This window comes from Homo sapiens, chromosome 2 (assembly GCF_000001405.40).
Source record: "Homo sapiens chromosome 2, GRCh38.p14 Primary Assembly".
Taxonomy (NCBI): Eukaryota; Metazoa; Chordata; class Mammalia; order Primates; family Hominidae; genus Homo; species Homo sapiens.
In genome coordinates, this window is record NC_000002.12 from 108598125 (window position 1) to 108613211 (window position 15087).

At 40.7% G+C, this 15087-nt stretch overlaps 1 protein-coding gene across 11 annotated transcripts in view, besides 5 other annotated features; it reads left to right on the top strand.

Annotated features, from left to right (window-relative positions):
* Nucleotides 1-15087, top strand: part of LIMS1 (LIM zinc finger domain containing 1) — a 153576-nt gene that overhangs the window by 64454 nt on the left and 74035 nt on the right. Inside the window, exon 1 of one of the 11 annotated variants that reach the window (NM_001193482.2) lies at nucleotides 9023-9131. The exons of the other annotated variants lie outside the window; for them this stretch is intronic. Within the exon in view, the coding sequence (NP_001180411.1) occupies nucleotides 9124-9131 (8 nt within the window). The 5' untranslated portion in view covers nucleotides 9023-9123. Of the gene's footprint in view, nucleotides 1-9022; nucleotides 9132-15087 lie in introns of those variants that run through there. 11 annotated transcript variants of the gene reach the window in all.
* Nucleotides 7711-7770: an enhancer, noted in NCBI's record as "active region_16346". NCBI's record gives its function as "activates an Ori minimal core promoter by ATAC-STARR-seq in GM12878 lymphoblastoid cells {active_cell/tissue: GM12878}" and the evidence as "EXISTENCE:reporter gene assay evidence [ECO:0000049][PMID:35858748]".
* Nucleotides 7941-7990: an enhancer, noted in NCBI's record as "active region_16347". NCBI's record gives its function as "activates an Ori minimal core promoter by ATAC-STARR-seq in GM12878 lymphoblastoid cells {active_cell/tissue: GM12878}" and the evidence as "EXISTENCE:reporter gene assay evidence [ECO:0000049][PMID:35858748]".
* Nucleotides 10846-10895: an enhancer, noted in NCBI's record as "active region_16348". NCBI's record gives its function as "activates an Ori minimal core promoter by ATAC-STARR-seq in GM12878 lymphoblastoid cells {active_cell/tissue: GM12878}" and the evidence as "EXISTENCE:reporter gene assay evidence [ECO:0000049][PMID:35858748]".
* Nucleotides 11109-11610: an enhancer, noted in NCBI's record as "NANOG hESC enhancer chr2:109225689-109226190 (GRCh37/hg19 assembly coordinates)". NCBI's record gives its function as "activates a minimal SCP1, AML or CMV promoter by ChIP-STARR-seq in primed H9 embryonic stem cells {active_cell/tissue: H9 hESC(primed)}" and the evidence as "EXISTENCE:reporter gene assay evidence [ECO:0000049][PMID:30033119]".
* Nucleotides 14258-14317: an enhancer, noted in NCBI's record as "active region_16349". NCBI's record gives its function as "activates an Ori minimal core promoter by ATAC-STARR-seq in GM12878 lymphoblastoid cells {active_cell/tissue: GM12878}" and the evidence as "EXISTENCE:reporter gene assay evidence [ECO:0000049][PMID:35858748]".

Below are 15087 nucleotides of genomic sequence, written 5' to 3' on the forward strand. Positions count from 1 at the left end.
ACTGGGTGGCTTATGAACTTTACCCCTCATCCCTACAACTGCAGCGTGGGCTATTTCATAGATTAGGACATGATGTGTAAGTAGCTGGCTCAAAGCCCTCCATCTAGTAAGTTTGCCAGTATATCATCAGTTCATAGTAAACTAAAAAAATGTCTACTTTATCCAAACTTTTTCATTTATAAACGAATTTGTGTCACCTGGTATGTCTTAGATGTGATTTGAGACTTTTTGTTGTTGTTGACATAGCTTTAATAAAATTAACATAAACTGTGACTTTGTATAGGCTAGGAGGAAGGAGAGACTGAGGAGTACTATGTTTGGAAGGAAAGCTGAAGGTAGGGCAGCCGGATGGTTAGCTTTGCAGATATGAGGCCAGTGAGAAGAAAACAGCTAGTTCGATATTTTGCTTAGGATTAAGCCCTGATGGTTGGATACTAGCCATCTGGGGGGTGGTGGGTGGGGAATCCTTTTGGGAGAACGGACGGAGTGTGGGAATGAGGCCCTGGCCAGGCAGATGTGTGCCAGTCTGACACTGTTCATTTCTTCTGTTGTTTATGCCAGTTCAGGCAACACGGAAGCTGTGTCTGTTTCTCCTGTCATTGTAAACGTAGCCCTGGTCTTTCAAAAAGCTGTGGTTGTGTGGGTCTTTAAGGTATTCCTTCAGTAATTGTGGTGGCCACTATTTCATTTAAGGAGTTAGCATCTTATAAAGAAAAATCTGTTTTCTCAAGGCTCTATAGTAATGATATTTTGTTTAAGTTTGTCCAATATGGTATTTAGTTCTTCCTATTAAGGAGGAGTCTCTAAACTTCAGTCTGTGGGCCAAATCTACCTCCTGTTTCTGTTTAATTATTTTATTGGGGGGGTGATATTTATCCCCTCAAGCATTTATTCTTTATGTTACAAACAATCCAATTATATTATTTTAGTTATTTTTAAATGTCCAATCTAATTATTATTGACTGTAGTCACCCTGTTGTGCTATCAAATACTAGGTCTTATTCATTCTTTCTAACTAATGTTTTTGTACCCATTAACCATTCCCTTCCCATTCCCCATCTCACCACTACCCTTCACAGCCTCTGGTAATCATCTTTCTACTCTCTGTGTCCATGAGTTAAATTGTTTTGATTTTTAGATCCCAAAAATAAGTGAGAACAAATGATGTTTGTCTTTCTGTGCCTGGCTTATTTCACTTGACATAATGATCTCCAGTCCCATCCATGTTGTTGCAAATGGCTGGATCTCATTCTTTTTTATGGCTGAATAATACTCCATTGTATATAAGTACCACATTTTTTCTTTATCCACTCATCTGTTGATGGACATTTAGGTTCCTTCCAAATCTTGGCTATTGTGATCAGTGCTGCAGATATCTCTTTGATATACTGATTTCCTTTCTTTAGTTTATATCCCCAGCAGTGGGAGTGCTGGATCCTATGGTAGCTCTATTTTTAGTTTTTTGAAGAGCCTCCATACTGTTCTTCACAGTGATTGTACTCATTTACATTTCCACCAACAGGGTACAAGGGTTCCCTTTTCTCTACATCCTCACCAGTATTTGTTATTGCCTGTCTTTTGGTTATAAGCCATTTTAACTGGGGCGAGATGAGATCTCATTGTACTTTTGATTTGCATTTCTCTGATGATCAGTGGTATTGAGTACCTTTTCATAGGCCTGTTTGCCATTTGTACGTTTTCTTTTGAGAAATATCTTTTCATATATTTTGCCCATTTTCTGATCAGATTATTATATTTGATTTTTTTACTATAGAGTTGTTTAAGCCCCTTATATATTCTGGTTATTAACCCCTTGTCAGATGGTTAGTTTGCAGATATCTTCTCCCATTCTGTGGTTGTCTTTTCTCTTTGTTGACTGTTTTCCTTTGCTGTACAGAAGCTGTATTTGTTGTTTTTGTTGTTGTTGTTGTTGTCGTTTGAGATGGAGTCTCACTCACTCTGTCGCCAAGGCTGGAGTGCTGTGACGCAATCTCTGCTCACTGCAACCTCCGCCTTTTGGGCTCAAGCGATTCTCCTGCCCCAGCCTACCGAGTAGCTGGGGCTACAGGCACCCGCCACCACGCCCGGCTGATTTTTTGTATTTTTAGTAGAGATGGGGTTTCACCATTTTGGCCAGGCTGGTCTTGAACTCCTTACCTCAGGTGATCTGCCCACCTCGGCCTCCCAAAGTGTTGGGATTACAGGCATGAGCCACCACGCCTGGCCTTGCAGAAGCTTTTTAACTTAATGTGATCCCATTTGTGCATTTTTGCTTTGGTTGCCTGTGCTTGTGGGGTATTATTCAATAAATTTTTGCCCAGACCAATATCTTTGAGAGTTTGCCAGACATTTCCTTATACTAGTTTCATAGTTTAAGATCTTAGATTTAAGTCTTTAATTCATTTTGATTTGATTTTTGTTTATGGTGAGAGGTAGGGGTCTAGTTTCATTCTTCTGCATTATGGATATTCAGTTTTCCCAGCACCATTTGTTGAAGAGACTGTCTTTTCCTCAGTGTACGTTCTTGGCACCTTTATGGAAAATGACTTCACTGTAGGTGTGTGGATTTTGTTTCTGGGTTCTCTATTCCGTTCCATTGGTCTATATGTGTGTTTTTATGCCAATACCATGCTGTTTTGGTTACTATAGCTCTCCAGTATAATTGGAAATCCAGTAATGTGATTCCCCCAGTTTTGTTCTTTTTGCTTAAGATAGCTTTGGCTATTCAGCTGTTTTGTGAATCCACATAAATTTTAGAATTGTTCGTTCTTCTCTTCTCTTCTCTTCTCTTCTCTTCTCTTCTCTTCTCTTTTTTCTTCACTTTTCTTTCACAGAGTCTTACTCTGTCACCCAGGCTGGAGTGCACTGATGCAGTCTCTGCTCACTGCAACTTCTGCCTCCTGGGTTCAAGCGATTCTCCTGCCTCAAGCCTCCTGAGTAGCTGGGATTACAGGCACCCGCCACCATGCTGTTCTGTGCGGGAGATGCCTGAGGGGGGAAGAAAAACACACACACAATACCTTTAAGGGTAAACAAGCTTTATCCCACGTAAATGGCAATGCAGATATAATAAACAAATGATATAATAAACAAATTGCAATGAAAAGGGGAGAAGGGAAAAGATATATATATATATTTTCTTACACTCACCAAACTATGGAGGATTCATCACCAGACCGGGAAGCAACAGCCTGGGCTCCAGAGTCAGACACTTGTCCGTGCACAGCGAGGGAAGGTCTCATGAAGTTTCGGTGCAGTCTGGGACTCTAGCTGTTTTCGTAACAAGTTGTTTGGCATGAGACCCAGTCACGAGTGCCCTTCGTGACTGGGCTTAAGGAACACAAAAAGGTCACAACTTGTTTTTGCGATTGTCTATTGTTTTTTAATAACTAACGTGTAAGAATAGATTGAAATAGAGATTTCTCTGAAACAGCGATGGATGAATGCCTCAAGGGGCTCACTCAACCTGTTTCAGGACTTAGTGACCATTGTTTGTGTCCATGTTCAATTGAGTTCAAATTTAATATTTAACTTTTCCTCCACACACATGCCTGGCTAATTTTTGTATTTTTGGTAGAGACAGGGTTTCGCCATGTTGGCCAGGCTGGTCTCGAACTCCTGAACTCAGGTGATCCACCCACCTTGGCCTCCCAGAGTGCTGGGATTATAGGTGTGAGCCACTGCACCCAGCCTAGAATTGTTTATTCTATTTCTGTGAAGAATGTCATTGGTATTTTGATAAGGATTTTATTGAATCTATAAATTGCTTTGAGTAGTATGGACATATTAACAATATTGATTCTTTCAACCCATGGAATGTCTTTCCATTTTTTGGTGTTCTATTCAATTTTCTTTATCAGTGTTTTATAGTTTTCATTGTAGAGATGTTTCACTTCTTCGGTTAAATTAATTCCTGGGTATTTTATTTTATTTGTGTCTATTGTAAATGGGAGTACTTTTTAAATTTCTTTTTCAGGTCATTCACTATTGGCATATAGAAATGGTACTGACTTTTGTATGTTGATTTTGTGTACTCCAACTTTACTGAATTTATCAACTCTAATAGTTTTTTGGTGAAGTCCTTAGGTTTTTCCAAATATAAAATCATATCATCTGCAAACAAGGATAATTTGAAGACTTCTTTCCAATTTGGATGCCCTTTATTTCTCTTCTCTGATTGCCCTAGCTAGCACTTCCAGTACTGTGTTGATAACAGTGGTGAAAGTGGGCATCCTTGTCGTGTTCCAGATTTTAGAGCAAAGGCTTTCAGTTTTTCCCCGCAGTATGATACTAGCTGTAGGTCTGTCATACATGGCTTTTATTATGTTGAGGTATGCTTTTATACCCAGTTTTTTGAGGGTTTTTTAAAATCATGAAGTGATGTCAAATTTTATCAAATGCTTTTTTAGCATCAGTTGAAATGATCATAAGGTTTTTATCCTTCATTCTGTTGATATGATGTATCACATTGATTGATTTATCACACTGATTGATTTGCATGTGTTGAACCATCCTTGCATCCTAGGGATAAATCCCACTTGATTATAATGAATGATTGTGTTGTTGAATTCTGTTTTGTAGTATTTTGTTGAAGAATTTTGCATCAAAATTCATCAGAGATATTGACCTGTAGTTTTCTTTTATTATTATTTTTGTTATTGAGACAGGGTCTTGCTGTGTCACCCAGGCTGGAGTGAGTAGTGCAATCATGGTTCACTGAAACCTCAACCTACTGAGTTCAAGCAATCCTCCCATCTCATCCTCCTGAGCAGCTGGGAGTATAGGCATGTGCCACCATGCCTGGCTAATTTTTTGTATTTTTTTGCAGGGACTTATTTGTATTTTTAGGGTTTCGTCATGGTACCCAGCCAGGCTGGTCTGGAACACCTGGGTTCAAATGATCTGCCTGCCTTGGCCTCCCAAAATGCTGAGATTTACAGGCACGAGCCACTCGCCTGACCAGGTTTTCTTTTTTTCGATGTGTCTTTTTCTGGTTTTGTTATCAGGGTAACACTGGCCTTGTAGAATGAGTTTGGAAGTATTCCCCTCTCCTCTATTTTTCAGAATAGTTTCAGTAGGATTAGTAGTAGTTCTTCTTTAAATGTCTGGTATAATTCAGCAGTGAAGCCGTCAGGTCCTGGCCTTTTCTTTACTGGGAGACTTTTTATTATGGCTTTGATCTCGTTACTTGTTATTGGTCTGTTCAGGTTTTGGATTTCTTCATGATTCAATCTTGGTAGGTTGTATGTATCTAGGAATTTTTCCATTCCTTCTAGATTTTCCGATTTATTGGCATATAGTTGCTCATAGTAGCCACTAATGATCCTTTGAATTTCTGCAGTATCAGTTGTAATGTCTCCTTTTCATCGCCTTTTTTTTTTTTTTTTTTTTTCCACTTGAGACAGAGTCTTGCTCTGTCACCTAGGCTGGAGTTATCTTGGCTCACTACAACCTCCACCTCCTGGGTTCAAGTGATTCTCCTGCCTCAGCCTCCTGGCTAGCTGGGATTACATTTGACAGAGTTTTAGCTCTTGGTCAGGCTGGTCTTGAGCTCCTGACCTCAAATGATCTGCCTGCTTTGGCCTCCCAAAGTACTGTGAGCCACCATGCCTGGCCTCCTTTTAATCTCTGATTTTATTTATTTAGGTCCTCTATTTTTCTCAGTCTGACTAAAGGTTTATCAATTTTGTTTAACTTTTTAAAAAAACTTTTTATTGAACTTTATTATTTCTTTTCTTCTATTATTAATTTTGGATTTGGTTTGCTCTTGCCTTTCTAGTTCCTTAAGATGCATTGTTAGGTTATTTATTTGAAGGGTTTTTTGTTGTTGATGTAGACATTTAGAGCTATAAACCTCCCTATTAGTACTGCTTTCCCTATATCTCATAGGTTTTAGTATGTTATGTTTCCATTATCATGTGTTTCAAGAAATTTTTCATTTTCCTTAATTTCTTCACTGGCCCACTAGTCATTCAGGAGCATATTGTTTCCTTTCCATGTATTTATATAGTTTCCAAAATTCCTCTTGTTATTTATTTCTAGTTTTATTCTGGCCTCCTATTTTTTTTACAGCGTGTGAGCTAAGAATATTTTGACCTTTTTTAATGGTTGAGAAAAAAATAAAAGGATGATATGAAAATTATATGAAATTCAAATTTCAGTGTTCATAACTAAAGTTTTCTTGGGACACAGCCACATTTACTTCTTTACTATTGTTTGTGGCTGCTTTTGAACCACGAGGGCAGGGTTGACTAGTCACCACAAAGACTTTATAGCCTGCAAGGCCTAAAATATTTACTATCTGGCCTTTTACAGAAGTTTGATGATTCGTGCCATAGAGGAGTTGTAGCAATTTTTGAAAACTTAACATTTTCAAATTTTAGACGGTTACTGCATTCAGATCTTTTATCCTTAGCCTCTCAAATTAAATTTTGTTCTAATAGAAATGACTGGATATTAACATATTTTAATTACCTTAAAACAAGTCTTGCTCCTCATCCCCCTTCCTCAAGATGGGTTTCTTGTAACTAGCATTAGTTAGCTTCCGTTCTTTCTGTCCTGGAAGAGCACTAGAGAGTTGTCTAAGACCACCCCCACTGCCCCTGCTCCTCTGAGTTGGATGAAGGATGAAACAGGGGACCAGCAGGAGTAGAGTCTGTTGGACAGACAGTAAGGCAGCATCTCAACTGTACAGAGCACTTGGTAGTCTGAAATTTGATCTCCGCCAGGTAAGAGCAATTTACCTGCAGGAAGGATTGATGGGTCAGGGATTAATGCCACATAGTTCCTTTTTCACTGGAATCCAGTTGTCTGATGATTCCCCACCTTGTGAGTCTGAACAGGATACTGAAGCTTGCTCCCTCTTGAGAATCTGGAAGGGCCAGATGACTGCCTTCCTAGCCTCACCTGCAGCTGCAGCTGAGGCACAGGAATGTGTCTTGGGCTCTGGCCATTAGGTACACCTGTATTGGACTGTGACCTGAGAGCTAGAGATGCAAAGAAATAGGGATTGCCTGGAATCATTTCTGGAGAGCACGGTTGTAACAGCACTCATGACACCCATTGTTTAGGGGCAGCAATAGAACCTGGTGTGAGCAGCACAGCCCAGTACCCAGCATTGGTCCATGTGGTACACTGTGTCCAAAGGTGTAGGGCTGGGGACAGACTTCCCCTGCTGGGCAAGGTGTTGTTATAAGCTCGGTTCTTTGTTAATCCTGCAGAGTCTGTGAGCATTCAAATATCATTTATTAAATATCTCTTCTACTTAAAATTAACCCAAGGTGGTTTCTGTTGCTTGCATCTTAGAAACCTACATGTGTCAAGCTAAAGAGCTCACTCAAAATACCTAATTTTTTATAAAATTTTTTAAAATTTTCCATATTTTGAAACTTACTGAAATTTATTCCTTTCAGCATCTTATGCTGTCCCCATTTTCCTCTTTATTCATTCCAAAAATGTCTGCCCAGTACCTACTACATGCCCAGCACATGGCTTCACATAAGCAGAAACACAAGCAGAAGAATGTGTCAGTGTTTGGACTTAGTGATGCCCCACTTAGAGAATGCCATCCAGTGTAGTCTTCATCCTTATAACCAAGTTCATTTTATCTGTGTATTGTGGGCCATATTAGACTACAGTGAGGGACCCAAGAGCAACTTGGAAAGAAAAGAAGTCAGATTATCCTCTGAGAGTGAAACTTCAAACTTGACACAGGAGTAGAGCTCTGTAGTCTCCTAAAGGGGATGGAGTGGCTCTGGATGTGTATGTAAAGAAAGGACATGACCATCTGAAAGGCCCGGTGAGCATGGAAGCAGCAGTTGTATGGGCAGTCACAGAGGTGAAGCTGGCAACCAGGCCTGGGGGCCAGGCAGCGTGGCCCTCGGGCCCAAGTACCAGGTTCCTGCTGCCAGCTCTGCCCCCAGTTTGGGGGAGGTGAATCTGGCTGTTGTAGTCACTGAGTATTCAGACTGTATAACTATTTTTATGAATTCAGGCACACCAGACAACCTTCTAATTATAACTTAGGTTTTCATTTGACCTGTGTCTAGGAGAGAACACATTACTTATGAAAGCTAGATATTTTAGTTTGCAAGTTGGAGTTGTGGTTTTACACGTCAGTTCTAAAAGTTGGTGAATGAGGATGCTTGAGTGGCAGGTCTACCTTAGGGTGCTGACAACATTCATTGCTCAGCTTCAGAAGCTGAAGGTCAGACTTTACATTTTTAAAAATTCACCAAGGTGGGATTCTTCACCAAGGTGAAGCCAGCTGGATTCACCAGCAAACTCTGTCACTGAACCGAGGACTTTTTTTGGAAGGGGGGCGGATTTCAGTATATGTGCATGTGTGTATACGTTAGTAAGAAAAAATCACAATTTGTAAGGTACTTTTACAATTTTATTAGCACTATCATGTTTGTATGAAGCTTCTGAACTGAATTCAACCATTCAAGAAGCATTTCTTAGGTACCTACTGTTGCCAGGCTTGAAGAGCTCACATTTCAGTGAGGAAGAGCAACCAACGTATAAACAACACACAATACAGCAAGTGCAACAAAATAGATTTGTCTAAAGTTCAGTAGGATCCCAGAGGAGAAAACAGCTTCCACTGCCTCCCTGGGGGAGCTCTGGAAGGCTCCACCAAATGGGAATATTGTGGGAGTCCTATGTGAGGAGAGAGGCTGGAGGTTCATCCACATAGAGAAATGGTAGATCCTGGAAACACAAGAGTGTGCTGAGTCTAGGGAAGTGGTTGGGAAATTAAAATATAGCACAATTAGTTGTTAGAAGGGGAAAAGTGATTGGAATGAGGCCACACAGGTGAGTATGCAGTAAAGGGTATGTCTCATGTACCATGCTGCTGTGGTCTGAATGTGTCTCCCCAAAATTCATATGTTGAACTTCTAACCCCAAAGTAAGAGTATTAGGAGGTGGAGCCTTTGGAGAGATGATTAGGTCACGAGAACAGAGCTTTCATGAATGAGATTACTGCCCTTATAAAATAGGCCCAAGGGAGCCTGCTTGCCCCTTCCTGCATGTGAGGACACAGTGAGAGGGTGCCATCTATGAGCATGGAGAGCTTAGCTTGGACAGCCAGCTGATGAGGGACACATCGAATCAAGATACATGACATGGTGAGTGCTGCTGCACAATATTGAGCTGTTCCCCCTCCAAATGAAACACAAATAGAACATAATTGAGCACACCAGTTGTCTGGTATCTTCATCACATAAATAGTACATGTGTGCACATATAGAAGTGATTTTTACACAAGGGTGTATTTTTGTGCATCTAGTAGGATTCACTATGGTTTCATTTTTAGGTATTTCTCTCTAACCTGGATATAACCAGAAAAGAGGTATTGATCTCTCTAATAAATTTGCCTATTAAAAGTACTAAGTTTTACAAGTGAAATTATTAATACCATGGGCGGAGTTCCATTTTACTGTATTCTTTTTGCTTATTTACTTCTGGGTCTTAAAGTCAATTCACAGGTCCTCATTTACCTGTTAATTGTGCCTGAAACCCAGTCTTTCCCATCTGTTTTTACTAGTCTTATAGTTTATATCCCTTAACTTTTCTCGTCTTCCTTTGAGTGGGCTCCTAGCATAATGTTTTATGTCTTCTGTTTTATTAAGCATTATTTGGAAATGGATATGATTTTAATATTGGTTATGTATCAAGTAGGGGCTCCTTGGGCTTTCACTGTGGGTAACATTCATGTGATATTGGTCTCAGAGTTAATGCCCCTTTTGTCCTCTGAAAATTGTGTGCCTGTAACATCTTCAGGAGCCACATGGTGGCAGGCGCAGTGCTTTGAAACTTTGTGGACTTACATACTCAGAGTGTTTGCTTTGCATCTTCATCTTTCCTTCTTTTAAAAATAATGAAGATATTGAAATTAATAAAAGGAACCTCCAAATATCTACCACCCACCTCAAGAAATAACACCTTACAGAGTTGAGGTCTCTTGGTTCAGTTTCCTCTTCCAATCACATTCCCTCCTCCTGTTTTCCTCCACGAAGAAGCCCTTTCCTTAATGGAGTTTGGCTCACTTTTGTGCATATCTTTATACTTTCATTACACATTTATGTATTCTTAACAGTGCATGGGATTCCGTCTTTCCTTTAGGTTTTCCTTGGTGTATACTGTTTGTGTCACTGTGCAAGTTGCCTTTTTCACTCACTTTTTTTTTTTTTTTTGAGACGGTGTCTCGCTCTGTCACTCAGGCTGGAGTGCAATGGCGTGATCTCGGCTCACTGAAACCTCCGCCTCCCGGGTTCAAGCTATTCTCCTGCCTCAGCCTCCCGAGTAGCTGGGACTATAGGCGCCCGCCACCACACCCAGCTAATTTTTATATTTTTAATAGAGACGAGGTTTCACCATGTTGGCCATGATGGTCTCTATCTCTTGACCTCATGATCTGCCCTCCTCGGCCTCCCAAAGTGCTGGAATTACAGGCGTGAGCCACCGCGCCCGGCCCACTCACATTTTTAAAACATTTATTTGTGTAGATGTGTGCTTCAGTGAATTTTCTTTTACAGCTATACAGCATTTCATTGAAGACATCACTATTTTAGAAATCTGTTTTCTTGATCTTGAGAGAAGCAGGGTAGTAGAGTGATCATAGATGGGGCCCCTGATGCCCATTCCAGTCCCCATTCTGTCACTCACCAGTTGGGAGCCCAGTTTCTACTTCCGAGAAATAGGGATACCGCTCATTTCACAGGGTGTTAGGGGGATCAAATGAAATAGTATGTGAAGCATTAACACCATGATTATTACCGTCATTACTGCCACTAGAACGAGATGACAGTAATGCAGACTCAGGGCAGGACTAATTTTGTGCTATATTTTAACTTGCAGTTGGACGGAGGGCACTCTGAAAGAAGTAGGGACAATAGCTTGGAGACAGCTGAGGTGGCGTCTTTCTGAAGACTTCTGTTTTCTCTAACATAGGTGGGGTTATCTCCCAAGAGTAATAGAAAAAGAGGGTGGGATCGGTGATTCGAGAGTACTGAGGGTTTGAAGTGTTCTCATTTGGGGCATGATCTGGCTAAATACATGCAAAATAATTTCCTGTGTTGGTGTGTGTGCTAATCTTGTTTGATTTTTTTCTTAGCAACCTGTTTACCTGGCAAAGCATAAAGGCTTCTCCTCTGGAGTCTTCTCTTCCCTCCCCCATGGCAGGTGTTGCTGCCTGGAGCTGCTTCCACAACTGGTTGTCTCCAGGATTGCACCCCTCCCCACCCGGAATTCTAACCTTGTGTGGCTTATCACCTGTCACATAAACCCATCAGCCTGGCTCTCACTCTTCAAAAGCTGACTCTAAACTGCCCGGCTCCCCGCAGTCATTGCTCCTACTGTTTCCAGAGTGAGGCGCCCACTGTTCCCTGGCTCACTTCTCCACCTTCCCATGCCTTTGCATTCTCCTCTCCATCTAGAATATTCTCTCCTCCCTTTTCCTGGTGCCATTCTTTCACAATGTAACATATCCCTTAATGTATTTCATATGATCTTGGGCAATCTATTTAACATCCTCAGATATGATACTTCAGATCTCTCATTAGAGGAAGCACCCAGAAAACCCAGGAGTCCTGACCTGATGCCTTCTGCTGTGCTGTCGGTGCATCACACTGCACACATATACAGCAGTGTATGACCTTCTGGCTTTAAGGAAGTTATGCTTGTTTTCATCCCCACGGTTGAAGTTTTTTTTTAACTTAAAAATATTTTATTGGCCGGGCGCGGTGGCTCATGCCTGTAATCCCAGCACTTTGGGAGGCCGAGGTGGGCGGATCACGAGGTCAGGAGGTCAAGACTATCCTGGCTAACATGGTGAAACCCTGTCTCTACTAAAAATACAAAAAAATTTGCCAGGTGTGGTGGCAGGCGCCTGTAGTCCCAGCTACTTGGGAGGCTGAGGCAGGAGAATGGCGTGAACCTGGGAGGTGGAGCTTGCAGTGAGCCCAGATCGTGCCACTGCACTCCAGACTGGGCGACAAAGTGAGACTCTGTTACAAAAAATGTGTGTGTGTGTGTGTGTGTGTGTGTGTGTGTGTGTGTGTGTGTGTATTATTATAAAACTATTCTTTTTTATTTTCTAAAAATAGAGATGGGGTCTCACTATGTTGGTCAGGGTGGTCTCAACTCCTGGCCTCAAGCAGTTCTTCTGCCTTGGCCTCCCAAAGTGCTGGAATTACAGGTGTGAGCCACTGCACCTAGCCTGAAAATTTTCATTCTAATATAAAAATAGAAGAAACAATCCTTATACTCATCACCCACACTTCTTGCCATATTTGCTTCACATATTCTTTTTTCTTTTCTTTTCTTTCTTAATTATTTAAAAGCAAATCCCAGACATCAGGTCATTTCATCCCAAAATACCTCAGGGCTGGTCCCTGAGGAGATGGACATTTTCTTTTATAAGCTGGTCTCTGAGAAGATGGACATGCTATTACCATATCTAACAAACGAGTGATAATTCTTTATCACCATCCAGTACCCCACCCATAATCAAATGTCCTCACTTGTCCCAAGAGTAGCATTCTACATTTGTTTTCTTTAAACCAAGATCTAAACAAAGGCCATAGTTTAATAATACATTTGATTGATATGTCTGTTAAGTCTCTCTTAATCTGCAGGAAAACCCCTTCTCTGTTTTTCCTCCAGTCATTGACAGAGATACCAGCTCTGTTGTCATGTAGAATTAAAGTTTTGAATTTTTAAAATAAACCTTATTTTGGAATAATTTTAGATTTATAGAAAAGTTGCAGAGGTCAGGAGCTCAGATAATCCTCACATAGTCCTCACCTAGCTTCCCCTCTTGTCAGCACCTTCCATTATCTTCATCATGTCTTTTTTCTATGCCATCAATCAGTCGAGGATACCACATTGTGTTTAGCCGTGGTTGAATTTTTAAATGATTTCTGATTATAAGTTCTCATCTACTGCTGAGAAAAATAACCATTTTCTGACTAGCAGGCAGTACACCGTTATGGTTTAAAACCAGGCTGAGGCCAGGTTTCAGTTTTTCACTCAATTACGTAATAACTGTATAGTAAGTTACACTTTCTATGTCTTGTCTCATCACCTTTGAAATGGGAATAATAATAGTACTGTTTCATTAGATTATTGTAAAAACTAAATTTGGTAAGTGTATGCAAAGTGCTTATCACAGTTCTGGGCGCATAAGAAGCACTCAATACATCTAGCTCTTGACCAAGGTGCTATTTCCTAAATTATATTGAGCCCCGGGGAAGGAATAATCAGAGCCTTTATTTCTTCCCCAAGGCTCTGATTTAAAAAATAACCTATCAATGTTTTTTTTCACTTTCCTTAGAAATAGTGCACTTGCTTTGGTTCTATATAGTGGTCTCATTACATTTTGAGGTATTTCACTTCTATTTTGGGAATTTTTGTTCAGTAGAACATAGTTCCCTAGAGTGTTTTGATCAATCAAAAATATTGGCTCTAGGCTGGGTGCAGTAGCTCACGCCTGTAATCCCAGCTCTGTGGGAGGCCGGGGCGTGGGGATCGCTTGAGCTCAGGAGTTCGAGACCAGCCTGGGCAATGTGGCAAAACCCTGTCTCTACAAAAATACAGAAATTAGCTGGGCGTGGTGGCATGAGCCTGTAGTCTCAGCTACTAGGAGGCTGAGGTGGGAGGATTGCTTGAGCCAGGGAGGCAGAAGTTGCTGTGAACCATGATCTAAAATATATATATATATATATACACACATATATATACACATATATATAAAATATATACACACATATATAAAATATACACACATATAAAATATATATATACATATATAAAATATATATACATATATTATATATACACATATATAAAATATATATACATATATTATATATACACACATATATATATACACACACATATACACACACACACACACACACACACATATATATATATATATACATATATATATGCCCTAAGAGTGAGTTTTTTCTCTTGGCAGGGGTTCTTGAGATCAGGATTGGAGGATTAAAACTTCAGGCCTTTCTTTTATTAGTCTCACAGAGTGACTGGTTTGATTTGTGTTTTAGAATTAGAATCACCTTCTTCACCAGACTTCCTTTGCATGAAGCAGTAGGAGCAAGTGGCTGCTTGACCAGCTTGAGCTCTAAAGTGTGTTTGTGGTATGAAGTGTTCTCAGAGGAACCGAAATCGGTGTGGTCACACATCATCAGTGCCTCTTCATACACCCACGCTCTCCTGAAGTTTGCTGTTTGTATTGCTTCCAGTGCGTGTTGCTGTTCAACAGTACCCTTGGTTTCAGCGTAGTTGCTATGATGAAGAAAACCTGTTAGAATCTGCCTTTTTTTTTTTTCCAGAACTGTTGGAAACATTGAATAATTCCATGTACTCTAAAAGGAAATAAAGTCTTTTGGGTAATTTGGACCCAAAGACTCCTAAGGAATCTAGGAATTCAGTTACATAGAAGGTCACTTCTTTCACTAGCTTTTGCCTCCAAACCTGCAGGAGAAAACCAGCTGAAGAGGAATACTCATATGAGTGGGGACTGCACCTGAGCACCTCACGAGGCTCCTTTCAGAACCCTCAAACCGACCATTCACAATATTCACGTGGACTAGGTCTGGGTCATTTGGAGAGAGAGAAGGTGTGGGCTGGCTGAGGTGTCTGGGTGGTTTCTAGTCAGTGTTTACACTCCGGGGCTTGCGCTGCGGCTCCTGCGCCTGTCATGCACCCAGTTTCCCAGAAGCTTCCGGGGTTAGGTTGTCAGTGTTGAGAGGCAGTGCTAGTTCAGACTTGACCTTGTGATGGTCTGTGGGGGAGAATGTTTTAGGCCCTGGGACAGTGCAGTTTAATGACTGAAACAGGAATCTTTGAGTCAAATCAACTTGGGTTGGATCCACACACTCTTATTGGTTGTATTGTTTGGTCAAGTCGTTTAACTGCTTTAAGACTCAGTTTCCCCATCTGTAAATGGGTATAATCACAATACATGCCTCATAGGGTTGAGATGGAGGTTAATAACACATAATGTGCTGGGTAGGTACTCCAACGTCAGTTGTTAGTAATAATTATATTACATAA